General features: G+C 36.1%; 1 protein-coding gene across 2 annotated transcripts in view; it reads left to right on the plus strand.

The window, feature by feature from the left end:
• Positions 1 to 13221, plus strand: part of TMC1 (transmembrane channel like 1) — a 316690-nt gene that overhangs the window by 257828 nt on the left and 45641 nt on the right. For both annotated transcript variants that reach the window (NM_138691.3, XM_017014256.2), the window contains 4 exons: positions 8904 to 9048; positions 9688 to 9882; positions 12451 to 12630; positions 12756 to 12917. In NM_138691.3, coding sequence (NP_619636.2) covers positions 8904 to 9048; positions 9688 to 9882; positions 12451 to 12630; positions 12756 to 12917 — 682 coding nt within the window. The remainder of the gene's footprint in view (positions 1 to 8903; positions 9049 to 9687; positions 9883 to 12450; positions 12631 to 12755; positions 12918 to 13221) is intronic.

Raw genomic sequence — 13221 nt, forward strand, 5'->3', positions numbered from 1 at the left:
ATAGAATTCAGAGTCTGGATGGCAATGAAGATTGTTGAGATTTAGTAGGAAGTTAAAACCCAATACGATGAACCTAAGAATCCAGTAAAACAATACAAGAGCTGAAAGACAAAATAGTCATTTTAAGAACCAAGCTGATCTGATAGAGCTGAAAACCCCATTACAATAATTTCATAATACAATTGGAAGTATCAGGAGCAGAACAGCCCAAGCTGAGGAAAGAATCTCAGAGCTCAAAAGTGGTTCTTCAAATTGACTCAGTCAGACAAGAATAAAAAAGAAAGAATAAAAAGGAATGAACAAAGCCTCCAAGAAATACAGAATTATGTAAAAAGACCAATCCTATGACTCACTGACATCCCTGAAAGAGAGGGGGAGAGAGAAAGCAAGTTAGACAACATATTTGAGGGTACTGCCTATGAAAATTTCCCCATCCTCACTAGAGAGGTCAACATTCAGATTCAGAAAATTCAGAGAACCCCTGCAAGATCCTATAAAAGATGACCATCCCCAAGACACATAGCCCACAGATTCTTTAAGGTCAATGCAAAAGAAAAAATATTAAAGGCAGCTGGAGAGAAGGGAAAGACATCTATAAAAAGAACCCATCACACTAATGGCAGACCTTTCAGCAGAAGCAGTACAACCAAGAAGAGATTAGGGCCTATATTCACCATCCTAAAAGAAAAGAAATTTCAACTAAGAATTTCATATCGAGCCTAACTAAGCTTCATAAGCAAAGGAGAAATAAAATCCTTTTCAGACATGCAAATGCTAAAGGAATTCATTACTATCACACTTGCCTTACAAGAGGTCCTTAAGGAAGTGCTAACATGGAAATAAAAAACTGTTACCAACTACCACAAAAACACACATAAGTACATAGACCACTGACACTATAAAGCAACTACACAATCAAGTCCACATAACAACCAACTAACAACACTATGACAGGATCAAATCTTCACATATGAATATTAACCTTAAATGTAAACGGGCTAAATGCCACATTCAAAAGGCACAGAATGGCAAGTTGGATCAAGAAGCAAGAACCAACTGTATGTTGTCTTCAAGGGACCCATCTCACATGCAGTGACACCCACAGGCTCAAAATAAAGAGATTGATAAAAATCCATCAAGCCATAAAGAGATTGATAAAAATCTATCAAGCCATAAAGAAATTGATAAAAATCTATCAAGCAAACAGAAAACAAAAAGAGAAGAGCCTGTTATTTTTATTTTAAACCAAACAGACTTTAACCTAACAATAATCAAAAAGGGACAAAGAAGAGGATTACATAAAGATAAAAGATTCAATTCAGCAAGAAGACTTAACTGTCCTAAATGTATATGTACCCAACACTGGAACACCCAGGTTCATAAAATAAGTTCTTGACCCACAAAAAGACTTAGATAACTACACAATAATAGCAAGAGAGTTCTGCACCTTACTGACAGTATTAGACAGATTATTGAGGCAGAAAACTAACAAAGGTATTTGGGACCTGAACTCAACACATGACCAAATGGACCTAACAGACATCTACAGAACACTCCACCCAACAACAACAGAATATACATTCTTCTTATCTGCAAATGACACAAACTATAAAATCAACCACATGCTCACTCATAAAGCAATTCTCAGCAAATTAAGAAAAACTGAAGTCACACCAACAACATTCTTGGATCACAGTGCAATAAAAATAGAAATCAATACCAAGAGGATCTCTAAAAATCACATGATTACATGGAAATTAAATAGCCTGCTCCTGAATGACTTTTGGGTAAACAATGAAATTAAGGCAAAAATTAAGAAATTATTTGAAACTAGTGAGAACAAAGACATGACATACCAGAATCTTTGGGACCCAGTTAAAGCAGTTTAAAAGGGAAGTTATAGCACTAAACACCCACATCAAAAAGTTAGAAAGATCTCAAATTAACAACTTAACATCACATGTAGAGAAACCAGAGAAACAAGAGCACACCAACCCCAAAGCTAGCAGAAGATAAGAAATAACCAAAATCAGACCTGAACTGAATGAAATTGAGACACAAAAAGCCATACAAAAGGTACATAAATCCAAGAGTTGTCTATTTGAAAGTATAAATAAGATTGATAGACCACTAGCTAGATTAATAAAGAAAAAAGAAGATTCAAATAAACACAATCAGAAATGACAAAAGGGACATTACCAACAACTCAAAAGAAACACAAAAAACCCTCAGAGATTATTACAAACACCTCTATGCACACAAACTAGAACACTTAGAAGAAATGGATAAATTCCTGAAAACATATAACCTCCCAAGATTGAACCAGGAAGAAATTGAAACCCTGAACAGACCAATAACAAATTCTAGAATTGAATCAGTAATAAAAAGCCTATCAACCAGAAAAAGTCCTGGACCAGACAAATTCACAGCCAAATTCTACCAGATGTATAAAGAAGAGTTGGTGCCAATCCTACTGAAACTATTTCAAAAACTTGAGGAGGAGGGATGCCTCTTTAACTCATTCCATGAGACCAGCATCATTCTGATACCAAATCCTGGCAGAGACACAATGAGAAAATAAAACTTCAGGCCAATATCCTTGATAAACATACATGCAAAAATCCTCAACAAAATAATAGCAAACCAAATCCACCAGCACTCCCAAAAGTAATTTACCATGATCAAGTAGGCTTTATTCCTGGGATGCAAGGTTGGTTCAACATACACAAATAAATAAATGTGATTTATCACATAAACAGAATGAAAAACAGAAACTACGTGATCATCTCAATAGACGCAGAAAAGGCTTTGGATAAAATTCAACATCCTTTCATGTTAAAAACTCTGAACAAACTAGGCATTGAAGGAACATACCTCAAAATAATGAGCCATCTATGTTAAACTCACAGCCAACATCATACTGAACAGGCAAAAGCTGGAAGCATTATCCTTGAGAACTGGAACAAGACAAGGATACCCACCCTCACTATTCTTATTCAACATAGTACGGGAAGTCCTAGCCAGAGCAATTAGGCAAGAGAAAGAAATAAAAGGCACGCAAATAGGAAGAGAGGAAGTCAAACTATCTCTCTTTGTGGACAATATAATTCTAAACCTAGAAAACCACATAGTCTCTGCCCAAAGGTTCCTAGATCTGATAAATAACTTCTGCAAAGTTTCAGAATAAAAAACCAATGTACATTTCTATACAGCAATATTGTCCAAGCCAAACCAGGAATGCAATTTCATTCATAATAGCCACAAAAAGAATATAATATCTAGGAATATAGCTAACCAGGGAGGTGAAAGATCTCTACAATGAGAATTACAGAACATAGCTTAAAGAAATCAGAAATGACACAAACAAATGGAAAAATTCCATGCTCATAGATGGGAAGAATTAATATTGTTAAAATGGCCATATTACCCAAAACACTTTACAGATTCAATGCTATTCCTATCAAAATACAAATAACAGTTTTTAGAGTTAGAAGAAACTATTTAACATTCATATGGAACCCAAACACCCTGAATATCCAAAGCTATCACAAGCTAAAAATTAAAAAAAATTTAAAAAGCTGGAGGCATCAGAATCACACTACCTGACTTCAGACTATGCTACAAGGCTACAGTAACTAAAATCTCATGATACTGATAGAAAAACAGGCACATAGACCGTATTAGTCAGGGCTCTCTAGAGAGACAGAACTAATAGGAGATATATATATATATATGGGAGCTTATTAGGGAGAAAGGCTCACATGATCACAAGGTGAAGTTTCGTGTTAGGCCGTCTGCAAGCTGAGGAAGGAAGAAGCCAAGAGTGGCTCAGTCTGAGTCCAAAAGCCTCTAAAACAGGGAAACCGACAGTGTAGCCTTCAATCTGTGGCTGAAGGCCTGAGAGCCCCTGGCAAACCACTGGTGTAAGTCCCAGAGTCCAGATGCTGAAGAACCTGGAGTCTGATATCCAAGAGCAGGAGGATGAAAGGAAGCATCTAGTACAGCAAAAAGATGAAAGCCAGAAGACTCAGCAAGCCAGCTTACCCCACTTTCTTCCACCTCCTTTGTTTTAGCCACTGTGGCAGCTGATTAGATGATGCCCACCCACATTAAGGGTGGGTCTTCCCCTCCCAGTCCACTGACTCAACTGTCAGTCTCCTCTGGCAACACCTTCACAGACACACCAAGAAACAATATTTTACCAGCTATCTAGGCATCCTTCAATCCAATCAAGTTGACACCTAATATTAACCACCACATAGACCAATGGAATAAGTTAGAGAATCTAGAAATAAAGCTGCACATGTACAAGAACCTGATTTTTGACAAAGTTAACAAAAACAAGCAATGGGGAAAGGACTCCCTGGGTCATACACAGCATTGGAATAACTGGATAGCCCTATCCAGAAGATCAAAGCTGGACTCTTTCCTTTCACCAGATACAAAAATCAACTCAAGGTGGGTTAAAGACTTAAATGTAAAATCGAAAACTATAAATTTTTAGTTTTTAAAACTAATCTATAAAAACTCTTGAAGAAATCCTAGGAAATACTATTCTGGATATCGGCCCTGGCAAATCCTTCATTAAGAAGACTCCAAAAGCAATTGCAATAAAAACCAAAATTGATAGGTGGGACCTAATTAAACTAAAGAACTTCTGCACAGCAAAAGAATTTATCAACAGACTAAACAGACAACCAACAGAATGAGAAAAATATTTGCAAACTATGCATCCAAGAAAAGTCTAATATCCAGAATCTATAAGGAACTTAAACTAACCAGCAAAAACAAAACAAAACAAAACCCTAAAAAACCATTAAAATGGGCAAAAGACATGAACAGACACTTCTCAAAAGAAGGCACACACGGCCATTAAGCATATAAAGAATTACTCAACATTACTAATCATTAGAGAAATGCAAAGTAAAGCCACAATGAGATACTATCTCACACCAGTCAAAATGACTATTGTTAAAAACAAACAAACAAACAAACAAACAAAAAACAGATGCTGGCATGACTGTGGAGAAAAGGGAACACTTAGATGCTGTTGGTGGGAATGTAAATTAGTTCAGCCACTGTGGCAAGCAATTTGAAAATTTCTCAAAGAACTCAAAACAGAACTACCATTTAGCCAAGCAATCCAATTACTGGGTAAATATCAAAGGAGTAGAAATCATTGTACTATAAAGACACATGTACTCATATGTTCACCACAGCACTATTCAAAACAGCAAAAACATGGCATCAACCTAGATGTCCGTCAACAGTGTACTGGATGAAGAAAATGTAGTATATATACACCATGCAATGCTATGCAGCCATAAAAAAGAATTAAATTATGTCTTTGCAGCAACATTGATGAAGCTGGAGGCCATTATCCTAAGTGAATTAATGCAGGAACAGAAAACCAAATAACCTCATATTCTCACTTGTAAATGGAAGCTAAACATTGAGTACACATGGATGCAAAGAAGAGAACAATAGACACCAGGGCCTATGTGAGGGTGGAGAGTGGGAGCAAGGTGAGGATTGAAAAACTACCTATTGGTTACTACGCTCATCATCTGAGTAATGAAATAATTGATACACCAAACCCCCACAACATGCAATTTACCCATGTAAGCAACCTGCACATGCATTCCCTGAACCTAAAATAAAAATTAGAAAGAAAAAAATAATAATTAAAAAAATTATCTGGGGGAAAAATAATTTACATTAGTAGCACCCTCTTGTCTTCAGGGGATATGTTCTAAGACCCCCAGTGGATGCCTAAAACTAAGGATAGCAAATTCTATTGCTGTCAGTTGGAACATGTTTCTTTTCATGTCTTCAGTCCACATATTTAATGACTTTTCCACTTTAACTAAATTTTAATCACACACTGTGACCATCACTTTTACAGTTTGAGGTACAACAGCAAAACTATCATTAATTTCTTTTTTCTTCTTCACAATTTCATGGATAGAAGATTTGTTCTTACTGTAGATCTTAGCAACCTCAGTGTATGATTTTCTTTTCCTTCCTTATTAGGTCAAAAACTTTTGCCTTTTCACTTAAAGGAAGCACTTTAAGTCTTATCTGTGGCATATCTGAATTGCCAGCATCACTGCTCTTGCACTTTGAGAGTATTACATGAAATAAGGGTTACTTGAACCCAAGCATTGCCTTACTGTAATAGTAAGTCTGATAACTGAGAGGACTATTAACAACATGGGTATACTATTGTATCCACAGGATGCATCCACACTAAACAAAGGGAGAATTCACATCCTGGGCAGGGTGAAGTGGGAAGGTGAGGAATTTCATCACAGTACTCGAAACATCATAAAACTTAAAACATGAATTGTTTATTTCTAGAATTTTCCATTTAATATTTTTGGAACCATGAATTGATCACAAGTAACTAAAACCATGGAAAAGAGAGAACTAGTCCACATGTTGTTTAGTATCGCTATTACAGTAATTTTCTTTTTCTTGTGTGGTCTTATCCTGTGGGCTTCTAGAAAATTGTTTCCTACCTGCCTCTCAATCCCCTTCCTCTTCTCAACTTTCATTTTAGCAGAGGCTACATTATAGTGACCCTGTTGGTTTAGGATTTAAAGAGGCATTTATTTGATTTGTTAAAAACCTCCACATGCACCCATGAAATAACCAAATGACCTCAGGGTATAAATGGAGCTGCAAACTTGTCCAAGTCAAGAAATTCAGTATAAAAACCTTAGGCAGGCCAGGCGCGGTGGCTCACGCCTGTAATCCTAGCACTTTGGGAGGCCGAGGTGGGTGGATCACGAGGCAGAATATCGAGACAATCCTGGCTAACATGGTGAAACCTCGTCTCTACTAAAAATACAAAAAATTAGCCAGGCATGGTGGCGGGCGCCTGTAGTCCCAGCTACTCAGGAGGCTGAGGCAGGAGAATGGCGTGATCCCGGGAGGCGGAGCTTGCATTGAGCCGAGATCGCGCCACTGCACTCTAGCCTGGGCGACAGAGAAGACTCCTCCTCAAACAAAAACAAAACAAAAACAAAAACAAAACAAACAAAAAGAAACACCTTAGGCAACAACATATATGCTAGAATTGCCTTTGCTAACTCCCCTGGCAAAGCAAATGATGTATTGAGATTGCTTCTCAGATAAGGTGGTTGAAAATGATAGCAATCTTAAAAAATGAGCAGTTTTCATAAATTTGTATACATTTTGCTCTATAGACAAAGAGTAGAGCTTATAGCTATCATGGCCATATCTCAATAAAAATGTGTTGCAAGCAGGTTTGCCTTGGGCATCTTTCCTTATTCCTTTCAGTATTCCACTTCTTTTCACACCCTTTCCCACATGTTAGATGTTCCCAGTCTGCTCATTCAGTTCGGGCTCCCTTCCCTGGGAGGCTGTCTTCAGCTCAAAACTTTGCCAGTGATAAAACTCCATTCAAAACTTATCTGCCAAGTGGCCATTTTTACTTGAAGCCCTGCCCTTGGTCAATGACAGTGCAAAAACTGGATAGTGGCATATTAATCAAATAAGTCATTTTCTCCCTAGGTTAAACCATAGGGAATATCTGCTTTCAACCCTTTTGGCCTCCAAAAAAAAAAAAAAAAGCATTTTGTATGGCTTTTCATACCTCATGGTGTCCTAGCTTGAGCACTGGAGCAAAGTCAGAAAATCTGAGCCCTTGACTTATCTCTGTGGTTCACTGCTGGATAATGTCCAGAAAATTATTTCATGCCTTTGAGCTTCAGCTTCCTTATCTGTAAAAAGGAGAGTAACTACCTTGACTTCTTGCTGAGATTTTAAAGAGAACAAATGTGAAAGCACACACAATCACCATTTGCAAAGGGTAAAGTGGTAGATGGATGAAAGGAATAATGATCTGTAATTTTTCCTTACATGCTAGCCTATTTAAAATGTATGAGCCTCCATGATAAGTGTGGCTAATAGTGGGGGAATGTAGATGATCTAGAGATACCGGTCAACCTACAATGTCAGCTTTATGTCATTGTGCCCCTTTCTTCTTTGGGGTTTATATGACTATAATATTTTAAAAACCAAAACCTTATGGGACCATTTTATAATTTGTGTCATATGAAATTTTAATTTTGCTATTTATAGTGAAAGGGAAAAAAGGAAGTGGAGTATATAGGATATAGATCTCTAACCACTAAAATAAACCTGTGAGTAAATGCATTTTAAGCTCTTCATGCAAATACATATATATATATATATACACACATATATATACACACACACACATATAATTACTGATTAAAAATATATATAAAATCACATATATATACATATAAAACCACTTGGCATTCAGGTTGTATAAAAATGTTGATTTTTATTCAAGAATTGTAGAGTAGATGGAAATTTAATGTACTCAATGTAATCTCTATTTGGGATGAGATTCTAGGGGGAATTAAAATTTACATAGGAGTTTCTTTGCCTGGTTTAGTCCATCCAGAGGCTTCAGATGGTCTGGGAACCAACTAAAGTTGTGTGGAGCAATGTAAAAGTCAGTATATATGTTTCTTTTCCCCTGGGGAGGGATTCAATAGATTTCATCGTATTCTTAAAGAAATTCTTGTCCTACCAAAGGTTAAGAACTAATTATCTCAGTTAAACAAAACACATAAAAATATGTTTTTATATACATGTTGAATTATTCAAATCTTCAGTGCTTAGTAGTTTATTAATCTTGAAGGCCTAGAAAGTGAATAATTTCAACAACTGAACAAAAATAAAATTTAAAAAGAAACTATTTTCTGGTCATTAGAACAAACTTGTTATAAAATATATGTCTTTTTGCTATTGCTTCTCCACTTCAACACTCATGATCATGTTTTGTTGCTATTTCCCCTATCTCATTTTTTCTGGCTGCTGGGTTAAACTTCCTGTTTTTGCAGAATGACCAAAAACATTGGTGATGATGGAGGTGGAGATGACAACACTTTCAATTTCAGCTGGAAGGTCTTTACCAGCTGGGACTACCTGATCGGCAATCCTGAAACAGCAGACAACAAATTTAATTCTATCACAATGAACTTTAAGGTAGAGGCACCAACTTCAAAAACCTGCTGTTTGTATTTCTAAGAGTAAAATTGGAGGCATTCCATCTGGTCCAGTAGTGCAGTATCTTGACAATTTACATGAAAGATTAACTCATGGTTTCTGCCTACCAAGATCTTGCCATGGTTCTGATTATAACTGGAAAATCTTCCATGACCCACAACAGCACTATTATTCCTTAAACACTTCTCTTCTCTAAATCTGGTAATAAAATAATGTTACTGGATTGAAATAGGACCATGAGTAATCAGAATAAGATATTTTAAAAACTAGAACAATGTTCACTAATTATTTACAGGAATAAGCATAATATTGAAGTGACCCTAAAACATTATTTTGTAGTTTTTTTTTTAATTCACTGGAATGAAGATTTTTAGAGTGAAGACTATCCTAATATCAGAGCAATCACAGTTTGTTTGCAAGAATTCTTCCTTCTGTCTTACTTGCCATCGTTTGTTGGCAATATTCACCTGGTTTGTGGAATCTCAGATTTAGTTTACATTGTCATTCCTCACATTCTGATGATTGTAAAAATAACTTTTGAGGTTTTGATACTTTTAAAATGTAGCTAAGATATTCTATTTTGGGTTTTTGTTTGTTTGTTTGTTTTCATGGATACAGGAAGCTATCACAGAAGAAAAAGCAGCCCAAGTAGAAGAAAACGTCCACTTGATCAGATTCCTGAGGTTTCTGGCTAACTTCTTCGTGTTTCTAACACTTGGAGGGAGTGGATACCTCATCTTTTGGGCTGTGAAGCGATCCCAGGAATTTGCACAGCAAGATCCTGACACCCTTGGGTGGTGGGAAAAAAATGAAGTTCGTCTCTGCATGCTTTTTATGTGCTTAGAACCTGACATTTGTTTCTTTTGTGGGTTATGTTTCTTTGATGGAACATTTAAAAAGGCCACCCTTTACCTATCCCCTATCCTGCCCTTACAGTTAACCAACCCTGTTGCTCATTTTCCATTCTATTCTAGTCTTATTTCTAAATCTGGACTGTCTGTTTTTCATTTTGTGACATGATGGAAAGTTAGAGTCAGAAAAGATATTAAAAAACACATAGTCTAATCATTATGTTTTACAGATGGGAATGATAAATCTCAAGAGATTGCATTATATGTTTATGGTCACAGAGTTAGGAGAAGAGTCAGGGTGAGAACCTAGGAATCTTGACTTCGAGTCCAAGGCTCTTGCTGCTTTCTCTGCAAATCCTTCATCTGTCATTAAAAGATCAAATTGTTGCCTGAACTTTTTGAAGCAGCCATGATAAAGCCACTGATTCCTATGTTGATCTCACTGGAAACACTCAGATTGCTTCTCCACCTTTGGGCATGTCTGGGCTTCCCTCTGTTTTCATTAGAAGCCTAACTGCAGCATCTCCATCTCCATTTCCTCCTGTCCTGTACCTTACTTTCTCTCCCTCTAAATGCTATTCAAATGAAGAAGGCCAGCTCTTTTCCAGGAATTAAACATTATGACCGTAATTTGCCTTTAGAGTATCTGCCCATTTAGTGAATCAGAGAAAGGAGGTTAGACATAGATCATTTAGAATCAGAAAATCATTGGTCATGAGTTGTTGCTAGAGTCTGTTCCCGTTCATAAAATGCTTATGTGTATGATGTGACGTCATTTTGAGCTTGGGCATTTTCAAAGTATGTGCAGATTTAGGCTGTGGGAAGTGTAGACTTCCCACACTGAAACTTTTGCAGAACAGTATAGATCAAAAGAATTAAAATATGTCTTTATAAGCATAGAATTTTCTAAAAAATCTTGGACAGCAAATGATATAATCTACTTACAGAAAAAGGTTCCAAATAACATTCTGAGTATTTCAGAAGTGGTACCAATAGAGACGGGACTAGATATTTTAAAGACTTTAATATACAGTCATGTCATAAAAACTTGTAAAATATAAGTAATTTAGCAGAGGGCTTTTATTTATTTAAAATGAAAAATGTAGGAACACCTCAAAGCATTTACTAAGTTTGCTTTCAAAATGGTCTCATAATTGTAATAGTACATAGAGGTAACATTATCATGCAGCTTTGGTCCATTATTTATATTGGTTATGTTTTTGTATAAATAAACCATATTAAAGGATGGGTAGTTGATTATCAATAAAATAACTATTCTTTGTAAGAACCTCTTTAACATATATTTTAGGGACCCTCTGAGTCCTAGGGGCCAATGAAGGTAATAATGGAGATTCATGAGTAACTTTACAAATTTGATAAAACCAAATTTAAATTTGCCTTGCATAAGTTTGCACAGGATAAGCCAAATTTTCTTTACATTAGTCTAAAATTATAGCATGCTGATTTTGTATTATGTCATGCTGAGATTTGGATCCTGTTGGTCATACTTATATAATGTTTTAATAAAAATGACAAAAATCTAATAGCAATTGTTTTCTAAATATAGTCTGGTAGTTATTATAATTATTCACACCACGAAGTCCACAGGAGAAAATAGGAAATGTTTAGTGGTGACAGTTTGAGCCGGGTATTTGGGAAAGGAGATAGTCACCAGAGTTACCTAAAATCGGTATTTCCCTATTAGAAAATTAGTACATGTTTTGGATTCTTTTTATTGACTTCCTTTAGCCAAATAATATCATCATAAGGTTGCCAAACATCCAGGAAATAAAAAGCACATGTTTCCTACTTTTCATGTTTCTATTCCTTCTTCTTTCTCTCTCCCCCCTCTCCCCACCCCTGCATTATTCTCTTGTCTCTGAAATTATAGCCCATTCTTTCACTTTTGAAACTTTTCTACGTTGGCTTCCATAACATTATGTCATGTGTTCTCCATTTGTTTCTCTGAGTTCCTTCTGTTTCCTTTAATAAAACTCATTGTATGTGTTTATGTTTTCGGCCTTAAAAGTTTACATTTGCCAAAATTCAATATTTAGGCCTAGGCCCATCTCAGGGAATTCATCCATTCTAACTGATTAAACTAGCCCATATGCTGATGATTGTCAGATTAGAATTTTCAGTTTGAACCTCCTCCTCAAGCAGATTATTTTCCATTTCTTTTGGAAATCTTGTTGTGAAGTGCATCACCATATCAGAATCAGTTACCACATAGAACAATATGTGTTCTCTGTGTAGAGACTGATGTAAATTGCCACCTTCACTATACCAGGAAACAGACTGTTACTACTGGCACATACACACACTCAGTCACATGCCTCTCTTGAGAATGTGAATTGAATATTTTCCCTGTCATTTTATTGAGATCAAATTCTAAACGTGCATAAAATAGTCATTTTTAGTCTTAAAAAAGATCAAAGAAGCCTAGCTCAGAATCTTCCAAAATTCTGGCAAAAAGCAATAATAACTTTAAACACCATTAACCTAGTTTCTCCCTTGTGCCTCCTTGTAGATGAACATGGTTATGTCCCTCCTAGGGATGTTCTGTCCAACATTGTTTGACTTATTTGCTGAATTAGAAGACTACCATCCTCTCATCGCTTTGAAATGGCTACTGGGACGCATTTTTGCTCTTCTTTTAGGCAATTTATACGTATTTATTCTTGCATTAATGGATGAGATTAACAACAAGGTAAGCCTTGTTTCTGGATTGTCCTTGCCATAAGAGTGTTGTTCAATTCCCAGTCTCAAGTTTGCCAGAAATGCCTTTGAAATCTCTGTTGTCTTCATTTTAGTTTCTATCTCTTTGCTTTCTAGATTGAAGAGGAGAAGCTAGTAAAGGCCAATATTACCCTTTGGGAAGCCAATATGATCAAGGCCTACAATGCATCATTCTCTGAAAATAGCACTGGACCACCCTTTTTTGTTCACCCTGCAGATGTACCTCGAGGACCTTGCTGGGAAACAATGGTGGGACAGGTAATGCCACCAACAGAAGTGTATGGCAATTAGTAGATTAAAAAAAGAGAGTCAATATCTCTTCCATAAGATTGGCTTTTAAAAAATTGCTTATTAGTAAAAATAGCTAAGATTTGTTGAATGTTGACTGTGTGCTGGCTCTGAATTTCATGTATATTATCTCACACTGTTTGCAAATCTATCCCTTGAGGTAAATACTATTTGTATGTCCCCTTTACAGTTGCATATAAAGGAAGGATAGTTGAAAATGGTGCAAAGAGATGTTTACTATCTGTATTATAATAAAGCACTCGATTTAGATACA

Source organism: Homo sapiens, chromosome 9, assembly GCF_000001405.40.
Source record: "Homo sapiens chromosome 9, GRCh38.p14 Primary Assembly".
Classification (NCBI taxonomy): domain Eukaryota; kingdom Metazoa; phylum Chordata; class Mammalia; order Primates; family Hominidae; genus Homo; species Homo sapiens.